Consider the following 19,072-nt stretch of genomic DNA (forward strand, 5'->3'; position numbering starts at 1 on the left):
AAAAAATCAGTCTTACCAATTTTATTTCCATGATAGGAAAAATAAACTAATGCTTACCCTTGCAGCTGCTTCTGATGATTATAAAGCTAGAAAAAACAGCTCAATAATCAGGCTTCACGAGAATTCCTGTTTAAATACTACCTTATAATTAATAGACTAACCCTTCTAATTTTCATTTGAAAATTAATTCTCAATTTGGCTGGAGTGCACATGACAAGGTAACGCATATAGTAGATATCCAAATAGATATTAACTGACCGATAAGCAATGACTGATATGGTCATTTTCCTCCATTCCACAAAATACTAAGTACCTAACGTGGATTACAGAAGCCTGATAGATTACTCTCTTTCCTGACAATCACAGACAAAATAAAATATCCCAGAAAAAGGCTTTTGTATCTGTTGTTCTTAAACCTTTCTACAATATCATTTTTGAATAAGACTGTAGGCCATGCACACCAATTTGAGTCACAAGGCACTATGGAGTCCCATATTATACCAGGAAAGCACAAAACAGTATTCTGTGATGTCACAGAATAGAGAATGTTACATCAGCAAATATTTTAACAAAGTACAATATATATCTATAAAAAAGCATATATGTATAAGTACATAAGTATACAGGCATTTTATACTTGAATTTAACACTAAACATATAGCGAACATCCTCATTTTTCTTTAACTATTTATAAAACATATCAAAATTTTCCAAAATTTTTAGGTTATCTTGTGAAGATGAGCAGATTCACAGAAATGCTAGATAGATATTCAGTAAACTGAATATAACAGCTTTTGCTAAGTGATACTATAGCAACCTTTATTTTTACTCTAGAAATTATCCTCACACACAAAAAACACTCTGCTATTTCATGGATTCAGTGAAATTTTATAAAGAAGTCTAATGGGTATAGTGTTTCTTGTTGTGATGATGAAGATGTGCCAGAATTAAATCATAGTGTCAGTTGCACTATCTTGTGAATATACTAAAAAACTACCAATAACTTACTTCCAAAGGATGAATCTTATTGTATGTGAATTATAGTTCAATAATACAGAAGAAATAACTCTTCTATTTGATAAAAAATCTGTCCTATTTAATGTTATACATTAAAGCTATATAATTAACACAATATTCTGATTAACAATCACATATAATTTGAAAAACTTCCTTCAGGGTTAATAGCAAAGAAGATAATAATATGAAGTTTTATTTTATTTGTGAGGGTGGGCAAGAGAAATAGTGTTCATTTCTTTTTTTTTTTTTTTTTTTTTTTTTATTATACTCTAAGTTTTAGGGTACATGTGCACATTGTGCAGGTTAGTTACATATGTATACATGTGCCATGCTGGTGCGCTGCACCCACTAATGTGTCATCTAGCATTAGGTATATCTCCCAATGCTATCCCTCCCCCCTCCCCCGACCCCACCACTGTCCCCAGAGTGCGATATTCCCCTTCCTGTGTCCATGTGATCTCATTGTTCAATTCCCACCTATGAGTGAGAATATGCGGTGTTTGGTTTTTTGTTCTTGCGATAGTTTACTGAGAATGATGGTTTCCAATTTCATCCATGTCCCTACAAAGGATATGAACTCATCATTTTTTATGGCTGCATAGTATTCCATGGTGTATATGTGCCACATTTTCTTAATCCAGGCTATCATTGTTGGACATTTGGGTTGGTTCCAAGTCTTTGCTATTGTGAATAGTGCCGCAATAAACATACGTGTGCATGTGTCTTTATAGCAGCATGATTTATACTCATTTGGGTATATACCCAGTAATGGGATGGCTCGGTCAAATGGTATTTCTAGTTCTAGATCCCTGAGGAATCGCCACACTGACTTCCACAATGGTTGAACTAGTTTACAGTCCCACCAACAGTGTAGAAGTGTTCCTATTTCTCCGCATCCTCTCCAGCACCTGTTGTTTCCTGACTTTTTAATGATTGCCATTCTAACTGGTGTGAGATGATATCTCATAGTGGTTTTGATTTGCATTTCTCTGATGGCCAGTGATGATGAGCATTTCTTCATGTGTTTTTTGGCTGCATAAATGTCTTCTTTTGAGAAGTGTCTGTTCATGTCCTTCGCCCACTTTTTGATGGGGTTGTTTGTTTTTTTCTTGTAAATTTGTTTGAGTTCATTGTAGATTCTGGATATTAGCCCTTTGTCAGATGAGTAGGTTGCGAAAATTTTCTCCCATGTTGTAGGTTGCCTGTTCACTCTGATGGTAGTTTCTTTTGCTGTGCAGAAGCTCTTTAGTTTAATTAGATCCCATTTGTCAATTTTGTCTTTTGTTGCCATTGCTTTTGGTGTTTTGGACATGAAGTCCTTGCCCACGCCTATGTCCTGAATGGTAATGCCTAGGTTTTCTTCTAGGGTTTTTATGGTTTTAGGTTTAACGTTTAAATCTTTAATCCATCTTGAATTGATTTTTCTATAAGGTGTAAGGAAGGGATCCAGTTTCAGCTTTCTACATATGGCTAGCCAGTTTTCCCAGCACCATTTATTAAATAGGGAATCCTTTCCCTATTGCTTGTTTTTCTCAGGTTTGTCAAAGATCAGATAGTTGTAGATATGCAGCGTTATTGCTGAGGGCTCTGTTCTGTTCCATTGATCTATATCTCTGTTTTGGTACCAGTACCATGCTGTTTTGGTTACTGTAGCCTTGTAGTATAGTTTGAAGTCAGGTAGTGTGATGCCTCCAGCTTTGTTCTTTTGGCTTAGGATTGACTTGGCGATGCGGGCTCTTTTTTGGTTCCATATGAACTTTAAAGTAGTTTTTTCCAATTCTGTGAAGAAAGTCATTGGTAGCTTGATGGGGATGGCATTGAATCTGTAAATTACCTTGGGCAGTATGGCCATTTTCACGATATTGATTCTTCCTACCCATGAGCATGGAATGTTCTTCCATTTGTTTGTGTCCTCTTTTATTTCCTTGAGCAGTGGTTTGTAGTTCTCCTTGAAGAGGTCCTTCACATCCCTTGTAAGTTGGATTCCTAGGTATTTTATTCTCTTTGAAGCAATTGTGAATGGGAGTTCACCCATGATTTGGCTCTCTGTTTGTCTGTTGTTGGTGTATAAGAATGCTTGTGATTTTTGTACATTGATTTTGTATCCTGAGACTTTGCTGAAGTTGCTTATCAGCTTAAGGAGATTTTGGGCTGAGACGATGGGGTTTTCTAGATAAACAATCATGTCGTCTGCAAACAGGGACAATACAGGAGCACCCAGATTCATAAAGCAAGTCCTCAGTGACCTACAAAGAGACTTAGACTCCCACACATTAATAATGGGAGACTTTAACACCCCACTGTCAACATTAGACAGATCAACGAGACAGAAAGTCAACAAGGATACCCAGGAATTGAACTCAGCTCTGCACCAAGCAGACCTAATAGACATCTACAGAACTCTCCACCCCAAATCAACAGAATATACATTTTTTTCAGCACCACACCACACCTATTCCAAAATTGACCACATACTTGGAAGTAAAGCTCTCCTCAGCAAATGTAAAAGAACAGAAATTATAACAAACTATCTCTCAGACCACAGTGCAATCAAACTAGAACTCAGGATTAAGAATCTCACTCAAAGCCGCTCAACTACATGGAAACTGAACAACCTGCTCCTGAATGACTACTGGGTACATAACGAAATGAAGGCAGAAATAAAGATGTTCTTTGAAACCAATGAGAACAAAGACACCACATACCAGAATCTCTGGGACGCATTCAAAGCAGTGTGTAGAGGGAAATTTATAGCAGTAAATGCCCACAAGAGAAAGCAGGAAAGATCCAAAATTGACACCCTAACATCACAATTAAAAGAACTAGAAAAGCAAGAGCAAACACATTCAAAAGCTAGCAGAAGGCAAGAAATAACTAAAATCAGAGCAGAACTGAAGGAAATAGAGACACAAAAAACCCTTCAAAAAATCAATGAATCCAGGAGCTGGTTTTTTGAAAGGATCAACAAAATTGATAGACCGCTAGCAAGACTAATAAAGAAAAAAAGAGAGAAGAATCAAATAGACACAATAAAAAATGATAAAGGGGATATCACCACCGATCCCACAGAAATACAAACTACCATCAGAGAATACTACAAACACCTCTACGCAAATAAACTAGAAAATCTAGAAGAAATGGATACATTCCTCGACACATACACTCTCCCAAGACTAAACCAGGAAGAAGTTGAATCTCTGAATAGACCAATAACAGGCTCTGAAATTGTGGCAATAATCAATAGTTTACCAACCAAAAAGAGTCCAGGACCAGATGGATTCACAGCCGAATTGTACCAGAGGTACAAGGAGGAACTGATACCATTCCTTCTGAAACTATTCCAATCAATAGAAAAAGAGGGAATCCTCCCTAACTCATTTTATGAGGCCAGCATCATTCTGATACCAAAGCCGGGCAGAGACACAACCAAAAAAGAGAATTTTAGACCAATATCCTTGATGAACATTGATGCAAAAATCCTCAATAAAATACTGGCAAACCGAATCCAGCAGCACATCAAAAAGCTTATCCACCATGATCAAGTGGGCTTCATCCCTGGGATGCAAGGCTGGTTCAACATACGCAAATCAATAAATGTAATCCAGCATATAAACAGAGCCAAAGACAAAAACCACATGATTATCTCAATAGATGCAGAAAAAGCCTTTGACAAAATTCAACAACCCTTCATGCTAAAAACTCTCAATAAATTAGGTATTGATGGGACGTATTTCAAAATAATAAGAGCTATCTATGACAAACCCACAGCCAATATCATACTGAATGGGCAAAAACTGGAAGCATTCCCTTTGAAAACTGGCACAAGGCAGGGATGCCCTCTCTCACCGCTCCTATTCAACATAGTGTTGGAAGTTCTGGCCAGGGCAATCAGGCAGGAGAAGGAAATAAAGGGTATTCAATTAGGAAAAGAGGAAGTCAAATAGTGTTCATTTCTAATTCAGGGACTAACTTTCATAGAGGTTGTAATAATCTACAATCTCATCAACAATATAAGCATTCCCTTTTCTCTGCATCATTGCCAAAATCTGTTATTTTACTTGTTCACAATAGACATTCTACTGTATAAGATGATATCTCATTGTTGTTTTAATTTGTATATCTCTGATGATTAGTGACATTGATCAATTTTTCATATGCTTATGGGCCATTTGTACGTCTTCTTTTTAAAAATGTCTGTTCTTTTCCTTTGCCCACTTTTCAATGGAGTTGTTTTTCTCTTGCAAATTTGTTTAAGTTTCTTATGATGCTAGATATCAGGCCTTTGTTGGGTGCATAGTTTGCAAATATTTTCTCCCATTCTGTAGGTTGCCTGTTTATTCTGTTGATAGTTTCTTTGACTGTACAGAAGCTCTTAAATTTAATTAGATCCCATTTGTCAATTTGTGCTTTTGTTGCTATTGCTTTTGGTGTTTTTCTCATGAAATTTTTGGTCATTCTCTATGTTCAGGATGGCATTGCCTAAGTTGTCTTCTAGAGTTTTTATAGTTTTGGGTTTTACATTTAAGTCTTTAATCACTCTTGAGTTGATTTTTGTATACGGTGTAAGGAAGGGGTGCAGCTTCAATCTTCTGCTTATGGTTAGCCAGTTATTCCAGCACCATTTATTGAATAAGGAGTCTTTTCCCCATTGCTTGTTTTTGTCAGGTTTGTCAAAGATCAGGTGGTTGTACGTGTGTACCCTTATTTTTGGGCTCTCCATTCTGTTTCATTGCTCTATGTCCCAGTTTTTGTACCAGTACCATGCTGTTTTGGTTACTGTAACACTGTAGTATATAATTTGAAGTCAGGTAATGTGATGCTCCCAGCTTTGTTCTTTTTGCTTAGGATTGCCTTTGCTATTTGTGATCTTCTCTGGTTCTATATAAAGGATGTCATTGGTTGTTTGATAGGAATAGCATTGAATCTGTAAATTGCTTTGGGCACTATGGCCATTTTAATTATAATGATTCTTCCTATCCAGGAGCATGAGATGTTTTTCCATTTGTTTGTGTCATCTGATTTCTTTGAGCAGTGTTTTGTAATTCTTATTGTAGAGATCTTTCACCTCCCTGTTTATGTGTATTCCTAGGCATTTTATTCTTTTTGTGGCAATTGTGAATGGGATTGCCTTCCTGACTTGGCTCTCAGCTTGGCTGCTGTTGGTGTATAGGAATGCTAGTGATTTTTGTACACTGATTTTGTATCCTGAAACAATTCTAAAGTTGTTTATCAGCTGAAGGAGATTTTTGGCCAAGACTATAGAGTTTTCTAGATACAGAATCATGTTGTCTGCAAACAGGGATAGCCTGACTTCCTCTCTTCCTACTTGGATAACTTTTATTTTTTTCTTTTGCTTGATTTCTCTGATTAGGACTTGCAATACTATGTTGAATAGGACTGGTGAGAGAGAGCATCCTTGCCTTTTGCCAGTTTTCAAGCGGAGTGCTTTTAGCTTTTGCCCATTTAGTATGATGTTTACTGTGGGTTTGTCATAGATGGCTTTTATTATTTTGAGATATGTTTCTTCAATACCTAGTTTATTGAGAGTTTTTAACATGAATGGGCATCAAATTCCGTTGAAAGTTTTTTCTGCATCTATTGAGACAATCATGTGGATTTTGTATTTAGTTCTGTTTATGTGATGAATCACATTTATTGATGTGTGTATGTTGAACCAACCTTGCATCCTGGGGATGAAGCCTACTTGATTGCGATGAATTATCTTTTTGATGTGTTGCTGGATTCAGTTTGCAAGTCTTTTATTGAGGGTTTTTGTGTCAATGTTCATCAAGAATATTGTCCTGAAGTTTTCTTTTTTTGCTGTATCTCTGCCTGATTTTGGTGTCAGTATGAAGCTGGCGTCACATAATGAGTTGGGGAGAAGTTCCTCCTCCTCGATTTTTTGGAATAGTTTCAGTAGAAATAGTACATCTGGTAGAATTTGGCTATGAATCCACCAGGTCATAAGCATTTTTTGGTTGGCAGGCTATTTATTACTGATTCAATTTTGGAGCTCATTATTGGTCATTTCAGGGAATTAATTTCTTTCTGGGTCAGTCTTGGGAGGGTGTGTCCAGGAATTTACCCATCTCTTCTAGGTTCTCAGACCCTGAGAAAAATGCCCCAGTGAGGAGCAGATTAACAACTGCTGTGCCACAATCACAACACAGGGAAATACAGGTGGTTCTGCTTCCATGGCCAAATGATTGGGAGTGGGACCTGCTTACATTTGAGGGAATAATTGAGGAAAACTTCCCCAGCCTTGCTGGAAACCTAGACACCCAAATATAAGAAGCTCAAAGAACACCTGGGAAATTCATTGCAAAAAGATCATTGCCTAGCCACATAGTCATCAAGTTAGCTAAAGTCAAGACAAATGAAAGAATCTCAAGAGCTGTGAGGCAAAAGCATCTGGTAACCTACAAACGAAAACCTATCATAGTAACAGCAGATGTCTCAGCAGAAAATCTACAAGCTAGAAGAGATGGGGGTCCTAGTTTTAGCCTCCTTAAAACAATTATCAGCCAAGAATTATGTATCTAGTGAAACTAAGCTTCATAAATGAAGAAAAGATACAGTCTTTTCCAGACAAATGCTGAGAGAACTCACCCTACCAAGCCAGCTCTACAAGAACTGCTAAAAGGAGTTCTAAATCTTGAAACAAATTCTTGAAATACACTAAAATAGACACTCCTTAAAGCATAAATCTCACAGGACCTATATAACAATAACACAACGAAAAAAAGATACTCAGGCAACAAACAGCACGATGAATAGATTAGTACCTCACATCTCAATACTAACGTTGAGTGTAAATGGCCTAAACGCTCCTCTTAAAAGATACAGAACGGCAGAAGGGATAGGAATTCACCAACCAAGTTCATACTGTCTTCAGGAGACTCTCTTAACACATAAGGACACACATAAACTTAAGGTAAAAAGGTGGAAATAGATATTCCATGTAAATGGACATCAAAAGGGCAGGAGTAGCTATTTTTATATCAGACAAAACAAACTTTAAATTGGCAGCAGTTTAAAAAGACAAAGATATAATGATAAATGGACAAGTCCAACAGGTAAATATCACAATCCTAAATATATATGCCCCTAACACTGGAGCTCCTAAATATATAAAACAATTACTACTAGACCTAAGAAATGAGATAGAAAACAACAAAATAATAGTGGGGAACTTTAGTACTCCACTGACAGCCCTAGACAGGTCATCAAGAAAGAAAGTCAACAAAGAAACAATGGACTTAAACTATACCCTACAACAAATGAACTTAACAGATATTTATAGAACATTCTACCCAACAACTGCAGAATATACATTCTATTCATCAGCACATGGAACATTCTCCAAGATAGACCATATGATAGGCCACAAAACAAGTCTCAGTAAATTTAAGAAAACTGAAATTATATCAAGTACTCTCTCAGACCACAGTGGAATAAAAATGGAAATCAACTCCAAAAGGAATCCTCAAAACCATGCACATACCTGGAAATTAAATAAGCTACTCCTGAATGATCATTGGATCAACAATGAAATAAAAATAAAAATTTAAAAATTATTTGAACTGGATAACAGTGATACAACCTATCAAAATCTCTGGGATACAGCAATGCTAAGAGGAAAGTTCATAGCATTAAATGTCTATATCAAAAAGTTTGAAAGAGCACAAGCAGACAATCTAAGGTCACACCTCATGAAACTGGAGGAACAAGAACAATCCAAACACAAATCCAGCAGAAGAAAATAAATAGTGAAGATCAGTGCAGAACTACATGAAATTGAAACAAAAAAAGATAAATGAAACAGAAGCTGGTTCTCTGAAAATACAAATAAAATTGATAGATCATTGCAAGATTAGCCAAGAAAAAAGAGAGAATGAGCTCAATTAGAAATAATATGGAAGATATTACTACTAATACCACAGAAATACAAAAGATTATTCAAGCTACTATGAACACCTTTATGCACATAAACCAGAAAACCTGGAGGTAATGAATAAACTCCTGGAAATATGCAACCCTCCCAGATTAAACCAGGAAGATACAGAAACTCTGAATAGACCAATAACAAGCAGAGAGATTGAAATGGTAATTTCAAATTTGCCAACAAAAAAAGTCCAGGACCAGACGGATTCACAGCTGAATTCTATCAGACATTCAAAGAAGAATTGATACCAATCCTATTGACACTATTCCACACAATAGAGAAAGAAGGAATCATCCCTAAGTCATTCTATGAAGCCAGTATCACCCTAATACCAAAACCAAGGAAGGACATAACAAAAAAAAGAAAACTACAGACCAATATCCCTGATGAACATAAATGCAAATATCCTCAACAAAATACTAACTAAACAAATGCAATAGTATATTAAAAAGATAATCCACCATGATCAAGTAGGTTTCATACCAGGGATGCAGAGTTGGTTTAACATATCCAAGTCAATAAATTTGATACACCACATAAACAGAATTAAAAAAACAAAAATCACATGATCATCTCAATAGATGCAGAAAAAAGCATTTGACAAAATCCAGCATCCCGTTATAATTAAAACCCTCAGAAAAATTGGCATAGAAAGGACATACCTTAAAGTAACAAAAGCCATCTATGACAAACCCACAGCCAACATTACACTGAATGGGGAAAAGTTGAAAGAATTCCCCTCTGAGAACTGAAACAAGACAAGGATGCTCACTTTCACCACTTCTATTCAACACAATACTGGAAGACTCCTCCAGAAAACTCCTAGAACTGGTAAATGAATTCAGTAAAGTTTCAGGATACAAAATTAATGTACACAAATAAGTAGCTCTGCTATACGATAACAGCAACCAAGCTGACAATCAAATCAAGAACTCAACCTCTTTTACAATACCTGCAAAAAAAAATTAAATGCTTAGGAATATAACTAATCAAGGACCTGAAAGACTTCTACAAGGAAAACTATAAAACACTGCTGAAAAAAATCACAGACAACACAAACAAATGGAAACATCCCATGCTTATGGATGGGTAGAATCAATATTATGAAAATTATCATACTGCCAAAAGCATTTTACAAATTCAATGCAATTCCCATCAAAATACCACCATCATTTTTCACAGAACTAGAAAAAATAATCCTAAAATTCATATGGAACCAAAAAAGAGACCACATAGCCAAAGCAATACTAAGCAAAAGGAACAAATCTGGAGGCATCACATTACCTGACTTCAAACTATGCTATAAGGCCATAGTCACCAAAACACCATGATACTGGCATAAAAATGGGCACATACACCAATGGAACAGAATAGAGAAAGCAGAAATAAACCCAAATATTTACAGCCAACTGATCTTCAACAAAGCAAGCAAAAACATTAAGTGGGGAAATGACAACCTATTCAACAAATGGTGCTGGTATAATTGGCAAGCCACATGTAGAAGAATGAAACTGGATCCTCATCTCTCACCTTATACAAAAAGCAACTCAAAATGAATCAAAGACTTAAATCTAAGACCTGAAACTATACAAATTCTAGAAGATAACATGAGAAAAACCCTTCTAGACAGTGGCTTAGGCAGACTTCATGACCAAGAACCCAAAAGCAAATGCAATAAAAACAAAGATAAATAGATGTGACTTAATTAAACTAAAAAGCTTCTGCACAGCAAAACAAATAATCAGCAGAGTTAACAGACAAGCCATAAAGTGTGGGAAAATTTTCACAACTTATACATCTGACATAGGGCTAATATCCAGAAACTGCAAAGAACTCAAACAAATGTCACAGTCAAATTTCATCTTCATAGGAGATACTAATGAAATATCCAGTGTGCTACCCTCTTGCTACACAAATACCACAGTAATTTGGGCCTTCTCTGTATTTACTTGACATAAGGAGAATTCAATTTTGCTTCTATTTCCAGACATTTAATTAGGCTGAAGGTACTATTTTCTAAGTTAGCAAGCAGTTATAAAGGCTTATGATTTTACCTAGTGATTTATAATGCAGTAAACACAAATCTATTATTTAACAGGATCCACACGGTCCCCTGTAAATTGATCTTGTTAAACATTTATTAATATTTTAAATGAAAAGGTTTGTTAATAAAATTAAGTAGAACTTTCACAGGCTTGGTTGGTACAGATGGCTCAAGAATTAATCCAGGCTGGGCGTGGTGGCTCACGCCTGTAATCCCAGCACTTTGGGAGGCCGAGGAGGGCGGATCACGAGGTCAGGAGATTGAGACCATCCTGGCTAACATGGTGAAACCCCGTCTCTACTAAAAATACAAAAAATTAGCCGGGTGTGGTGGCGGGTGCCGGTAGTCCCAGCTACTCAGGAGGCTGAGGCAGGAGAATGGCATGAACCTGGGAGGCAGAGCTTGCAGTGAGCCGAGATCACACCACTGCACTCCAGCCTGGGTGACAGAGCGAGACTCCATGTCAAAAAAAAAAAAAAAAAAGACTACACATTAGGTACAGTGTACACTGCTTGGGTGATGGGTGCACCAAAAGTCTCAGAAATCACCACTAAATAACTTATTCATCTAACCAAACACCACCTGTTCCCCAAAAACCTATTGAAATAAAAAGCCTGGAGCCACCTTCCAAGGTTATGCTTTAGTTAGTCTAGTGAGAACCCTAATCATAGTCTTTGAAAACTCTCCAGGTGATTCTGTAATTAATCAAGATTGAGAACCACCATTCCTAAATCTCACTCCCTGTACAGCTCAAACTTTACCTCTTCTTTAAGTTTCTCTGTGTACTTTTGCTTGAGGTAATGTTCTTTTCTCCAAACTACCATAACCACCTGAACCTTTCCTATGGCCCCTTCTTGGTCTATCTGGCATTCCAGTTACTTATGAACATGGGATATATCTCATACTCAGCTATGGCTGTCTTTAGAGATGACATTTGTTTGCAAATATTAAGTCCTCAATACCTATTTGTCGTATGAATTAATGAATGCACATGCTTGCACACATTCCCTACACTTGATCTCATACCCCATCCCACACCCTTATGGATCCCCTGCTACCTTGTTTCCCTTCCCCACAAATTCACAATCAGTTCAGGGCCCCAATCATTTTATGCAACTATTAAGCTTAAAACACACAGAGAAGACAAGAGTTGGGTAAATTAAAAGGTCTGTTATGTTCCTAACAGACTGTTTGTAACCAGCAAAGTTAGAACTGTAAATATCCAACTTACCTTTAATTGACTAACACTGCCAGCTTCCTGGTGTTTAATCCATACCTATACATTTTGTCTTTGAATATAAAAAGAACTACTCACCATTGTATTGTCTTTCACTTTGCACGGTGTGCACTATTCTTAAATTCAATTTAATGCCTATGTCCTATTTTCTATTTTATGTAATGCTGTGATACCACATGACAGCTAAGTTCTAAGTATCTTCAGATATTGTAGATTTGTCATAATATGAGATAAATAGTTTTTGCCTCTCTTATAGATAATAAGTTGAGTGATTGCTTTAAGACCCTACGGGAATATATAAGACCATGTTTGGAAAGACTCAAGTAACTTAGTCTAGAGAAAGAACTATCAGATTATTGCAACATTTTAGGATGGGTGAAGAGTCAACTATTGTTTCTTTGGGGTAAATCAGATGAGGAGTAGGAAGAAAACAAGAACAAAAATAGGTTTTTTAACCGCCAGTTGTAACCATAATGCCCAGCTCAGAATGCAGAGTTCAAAAGTTAAAGAGTGCCTAGAGCAGTACCCATTACCACTGCCTTCCTTCCAATTCCATCTGCTTGTCCCTATGCTCTTGAGATATAATGACTTCAGGTTTGATGCGGCTTTCTCTTATTGTCTGCAATTGAATCTTTTCCCAGTGTCTTGAGATTCCTTGTGCTTTCACTTATGACAGTAACACCCTTCTGGACTCAGTTCTTCCAGACTGTTTCATCCCAAACATGCTCAAATTCTCATTCTGACTAGTGAGGGCACCATAGAAGGAAAATGAAATCAGATAATCTCAAGATTATCTGTCATCCTTTCCACACCCCTACCCTGAACTCACAGCCTTTGCTGAACTCAAGTCTATCTATACACTCTGGCTGCTTTTTCCATTCTTCCTCCCATCCGATGTCCCTCCCAAGCTGTTATGCTTTGTTTCCTTATAAACAAACACCCTCTCTCCAAATATGCACCCCTCCTTGCCTCACTCATGAAACACTTCCTCTATGTTAAACCCTGTCTGTACTTAAACACTGCTTTCTTCAGTCACCCTTAGGATACACTTTGCTCTTTGTCCCTTACTTTCTCATAACTTTGGGGCAGCACACAGGGTCATGATTTTTCTACTTCCTACAGCCACTTTCACATTATTAGTTTCTCAAACTCTTAGGAAATTCACTTAGAAAATAACATTTATAAACTTACATGTCATCCAGCCAGTCCACATCAAGCTCCTGCAGCTGATTACTCTGGCATGTTGATTCATATCTGATTGACAACCATCATCTCTAACACGATTTTCAGTGACTTCAAAAACAATGTGAAAGACACATCAATCCTTAACCTCACTGACTTCAGTGAGTCTCACTTCTTGTTTGCTCTAGCCATCTGCTCCCAGATCCTTGCCTGAATCTGCCATTCTCCCAGGATGGCTCTGAAATCTTAAACTCCAGTGCCTCACTCTTAACTCCAACTTCTTCCTCCAGCTTTCTCATCCATTAGTCCACATCTATTTTTAACCTTGTCAGAACCTCTTACCTGACTCCCATTTTCTCTCAATCTACCATCCCCTTCTATTCTTCTAGTTATGCTTTCTCCTTTTCTTTCCTAGATCTTTTTTTTTTTTTTTTTTTTTTTTTTCTGGAGATGGAGTCTCACTTTGTCTCCCAGGCTGGAGTGCTGGAGTGCGGTGGCACAATCACAGCTCACTGCAACCTCCGCCTCCCGGGTTCAAGCGATTCTCTTACCTCAGCCTCCCTGGTAGCTGGGATTACAGGCGTGCACCACCACACCCAGCTAATTTTTGTATTTTTAGTAGAGACAGTGGTTCGCCACGTTGGACAGGCTGGTCTCTCCAACTCCTGACCTCAGGTGATCCACCCGCCTCAGCCTCCACCCAAAGAGCTGGGATTATAGGCGTGAGCTACCATGCGCAGCCTCTTTCCTAGTTAGTTCATTCTCTCTCTCTCTCTTTCTCTGCTAACACATAACCACACATCCTTCTGCCAAAAGGAAATAGAAGCCATCAATGAAGTTCAGTCATTTCTTACTCACTAATTATAAACATGCATCTGCTCCTTTTCCCTTATCTCCCTTTCTCCCTTTACCTCTCTAAGGCTATTCTACTCACCAGTGCTGCCAATCTTAGCTCCTTGGCTTTCCATAAAGGTTGCCCTATCACTCACTCGTATATCATCTGCATTTTCAGTCAATGTCCTACTCAGCTCTTTGCATTTTAATGCACTCAGGTCTCTCTCTTTTTGAAAAAAATAATGAAAATTCTTTAACCCTACATTGTCCCGAGAATACCATCCTCTCTCCCTTTACTCTGATAATCTAGCTTTGGGAATTAGTACATCATCCTTGCTGACTCCTCTTCCTTGCTCCCATTCACTCAGTGGGCCACAACAATCTGGCCTCCTAAAAAGCACTCTGTTGAAACTGCCCTGAAAAAAAGTCACCAATGACTCTTTTGTTGCTGAATCCAATGGACAACTTTGTCCTTTTTTGACTTCTCTGCACCATTAACACTGTTCTACCCTATAGCCTGCTTTACCATAATTCTACCTTTTTACCTCTCTAATGACCCTTTCCTATCCATCTTTCTCTTCTCAGCCTTAATATGTTTTACGAAAAATTCTACCCTCAGTGCTCTCTTCTTCGCATTACTTAGACTGTCCCTTGAAGGGATCCTTTCCTTTTTTTCTTATTGATAAACTTCCCAAAATAAGTATTGAATCATTCTTGATCCAAAGCTCTTGATCTGTAATGCAACTAACCTTTGGGCATCTCTAACTGGTTATCAAATATGACATATCCAGGTATAAACTTGTCATTTCATCCCCAAACAAATTTCTTTTCCTGTATCCTCTTTCTCAGTGAACAGCAAACTCTACTGTCTACAGATAGCTTAAGGCAGGAACATGGGGGTCATCACACATGACTCCACCTCCTCACTCACAACCCTGTATCAGTCAACATACCCTGGCAATGAATTGTCCTTAGTATCCCAAGAAGCTGACTGCTTCTCTCATAATTCTTGCTGCCACTGTCATCACTTATCTCTTACAAGTGTTAATTTCCCTCCAAAATTATCTATCAAAAATATATCTAATCACATCTCTCCCTGTTAAAATCCCCCGCCCAGGCCATAGTTTTAAAACAAACTAAAATGGCACGCAAATATCTATGTGACCTGGCTTTTGCTTACCACTCACCTTGCAGCAATTATCTCAAGAATTAATTATTCCTTCAGGAAGTTTACCCTGACCCCTCAATCTAAGAGCCCCACTTGGGTTTCTAGAATATGCTGTGCTCCTAGGATCAGAGCATGGATTGCCATGTCCTGTATCATTAATGGTTTACTTGACCTTCTGCCATTTAAAAAGTGAGCTCCTTGAAGTCAGGGGCTGAATCCTCATTAAATTTTAAATACCCGACATTTGATATAATAGCTAACAAAGAGTAGGCAACTAAGAAATGTTTGGTAAATAGATGAGGTGAATCAATGCTTGGTAAACAAATAAAAATGAAATTACATATTTTCCTACATAAAGAAAGTGTTGGGAAACAAAAGGAAAATGTAACAGGAAAAGTAAAAGAAAGACTCCTAAAAAGAAAAGAATAGACATACTAATGGATGGGGAAAAGAACAACCTTCTCCTCCAGTCTACATGGGTTTACACTGCCACAGTGGCAACTCATATGAAGACTTTATAGTCATAACCCATTTTGCTCTTTGCTTCTGAACCCTGAATGGTTGATCAGAGCATGGAATTCTCTTTAAATTCTGACCTTGGTAGCAGAATGATCTGGAAGAAGCATGAAATCTTTCTTTCTCTTCTTCAACACTAAGAATTGTTTGCATTATGCTGAAAGACAAAGCCATTTTGCAGATGTAGTCTTCATAAATATGTGCCTGAGAGACTTGCTGAACACAGCAAAAATACACTTTTTTCACTGCTTTTCTCTAGAGAAGTAAGAAAGCACATTTTAAATGAAGGATTTTTAATAGGTGCAGAAATTTTTGGCTTGAAATCAAAGTATCAGAAAGTATGCAAGAAATTAAATCCAGTCCAAAAGCCAGAGATTAAAAGTTGTCAGGGCCACCTTTTTTGTGGGCATGTAAGTTATCAATTATGACATCTATAAACGTGGAGGCAAGAGACTTTGATTTCAAGTCCTTGATTGTCACTCAAATTTTCAGGGCCCCCATTTCTACATGGTAAAATGGGGATGTCCACCCAGTCTGACACACAGGATAATGAAATTCATATATTCAAGCATTTATTTTAGCAAATGCTTTTTGAATGTCATTTTTCTATTCATCAATGATACAGTTGTACACAAAGCAGACAAGTTTCAGCCCTGCTAGATCTTGCATTCTATTGAGAGAGACAAACAGAAATCAAACAAGTAGATGGAAGTATACCTTAAGGAGGTAGTAAGTACTCACAAGAAAAATAAACCAGGGTAAGGGGTTAGAGAATGGCAATACAGTTGTGCATTTGTTGAGGGGGATGAAGGCAGGGAGGTTCTCTCTCAGAAACTGATTTCTTAGAGGTGACCCGAGCAAGGTGAGGCACTTATATCAACATCTGGAAGAAGAACATTCCAGGCAGAGGAGCTGAAAAGGAAAGGCCCTGAGGTAGGCACATACTTAGTACATTCTAGGAGCAGTAAGGAATCCAGGGTTGTTAAAGCCAAACTACAGAAAGGACAGGAAAGAGGAGAAAATGAAGTTGGAAAGATAATTTTGGCCCAGATACCATGTATGAATGAAAATATTTTGTAAACCATTACTGGTTGTAAAACTGTAAGGCCGATCCACTCTAAAGGGCATGGGAGACTGAAACCAGTCATCATATATTTTAAACGGTTTGTATTTAAAGTCCCATCTCATGAGACTTTGAAATGGTGTCATTCATTGCATTGGCATGGCTTATTTCACCAGGTGATCTAATTTCACTCACATGTGAGCATACTCAAACACACATATACACAGGGAGTTTGTCTTTACCCTCTCTGTTTCATTATTTGAACACCCTTGGATTTCTTCCTTTTCTTATATAGCAATAATAAAGCCAGTAAGAGAAAATAGTATCATATTGACCCTCCAAAAGTTGTCTTTTATTGATTTTAAAGCAATAGTCAGGCCCTTGTAACTGAAGCTTGACCCTTGGTTCTACTATGAGACAGAAACATTGACAACTTAGAGAGAGTCATAACAAAGCCACAGACATAATCACAAGATTAAGATAGGAAACCATAAATGACAAATTATCTAAGGCAGTCATGGAGAATATAAAAGGAATCACAAAAAGAAAGAAGACACAAAAATTTCAATTTGTTAAATAACAGCCAGGGTTGAACTACTCAAGGAGTCAATTGATTGTATGACCAGGTCCCTAGAGAACATTTGGTTCCAAGGGATCCCAAAAATATTCAGCCCAAAGGGAGTTGTAAAAAAAGAGAGCTTCAGTATAAGGAAGTTCATAGCTACAATCTCAGGATTTCTTTTCCCTGACCCCCTCCTTTGTACTTCCATCTGCCCCTCTAGTTGGCTCTTTTGCCACCTCCAACCTGCCTCTTCTGCAGTTCTTTCATTATCTTTCTACATTCTCTCCTCTGAAAATATTTCTTCTGAAGCTTGTTCTCTCTCCCACACTTAATACCTACATGCTTTTTTGATAGACATCTCTACTGCACGTCTTTTTGTCCTAGTTTTTCAAACTCAATGTATCAATGAATAAGGTAATCTTCCTCCCTCTCCCCAAAATCTCTTTTCCTTTATGACTCCACAATTTCTGTTTGGGGCCTCACAATTCTTAGTTACTCAGACTCAAACCTCAAAGCCTTCTTTGTGGCCTTGCCTCTCATTTTCTCCCAAGTTCAGTCAATAAACTCTAGCAATCCCCCTTGAGTTCTCATTTGTTCTCTTTCCCTGCCTCCTCCCTGTCTCCCTACCTCTTGCCTAGATAGACATAGTGGCCTCTCAACATATCTTTCCCTCTAGTCCGTCTTCCTTTGCTGTATTTAACAAAATGCTATCAGGGGATTTTCCAAAGTAGACTCTGATCAGGTCATTGCCCTCCTCAAAGATTCTTCAAAGTCTCCGTGTAATTCAAAGGATAAAAGCCACACCTCTGCCCCTGACAGTCAAGGTTCTCCATGCTGGGAACCAACTCCATCTTCCTAGATTTTTTTTTTTTTTTTTTTTTTTTTTTTTTTTTTTTTTGTGAGACGGAGTCTCCCTCTGTCGCCCAGGCTGGAGTGAAGTGGTGCGATCTCCCCTCACTGCAAGCTCCGCCTCCCGGGTTCACGCCGTTCTCCTGCCTCAGCCTCCCGAGTAGCTGGGACTACAGGCGCCCGCCACCACGCCTGGCTAATTTTTTTTGTATTTTTAGTAGAGACGGGGTTTCACCGTGTTAGCCAGGATGGTCTCGATCTCCTGACCTCGTGATCCGCCTGCCTCAGACTCCCAAAGTGCTGGGATTACAGGCGTGAGCCACCACGCCAGACCTTTCTAGACTTTTTCATCTTCCACTCTTCCCCCTACCACACAGTCTGCTCCAGCCGGAGAAATGGCCCACTGCCCTTGAACAGTTCCCAGTACTTCCTCACTGCTCTTCACGTGTGCCACATCCTGCATTCAGATAACCACTACCATATCCACCTTTTAAGGTCCTTCTTCTGTTTTAAAGTCCATTTCAGAATACCGCCTCAGGGAGTGATTTGAAGTGGTATTCTAATCATGCATCCATCTGTTCATTCACCCAGCAAGTATTTAGTGAGTACCTACTATGCATTTTACCTCAGTTGTGACTAGTTGTGCGCCTCTCTT

At 38.1% G+C, this 19,072-nt stretch overlaps 1 long non-coding RNA gene across 1 annotated transcript in view; it reads right to left on the minus strand.

Moving 5' to 3' along the window:
* LOC105374506 (uncharacterized) overlaps positions 1-19,072 on the minus strand; it is a 165,476-nt gene that overhangs the window by 136,216 nt on the left and 10,188 nt on the right. The window lies entirely within an intron of this gene.

Source organism: Homo sapiens, chromosome 2, assembly GCF_000001405.40.
Source record: "Homo sapiens chromosome 2, GRCh38.p14 Primary Assembly".
NCBI lineage: Eukaryota > Metazoa > Chordata > Mammalia > Primates > Hominidae > Homo > Homo sapiens.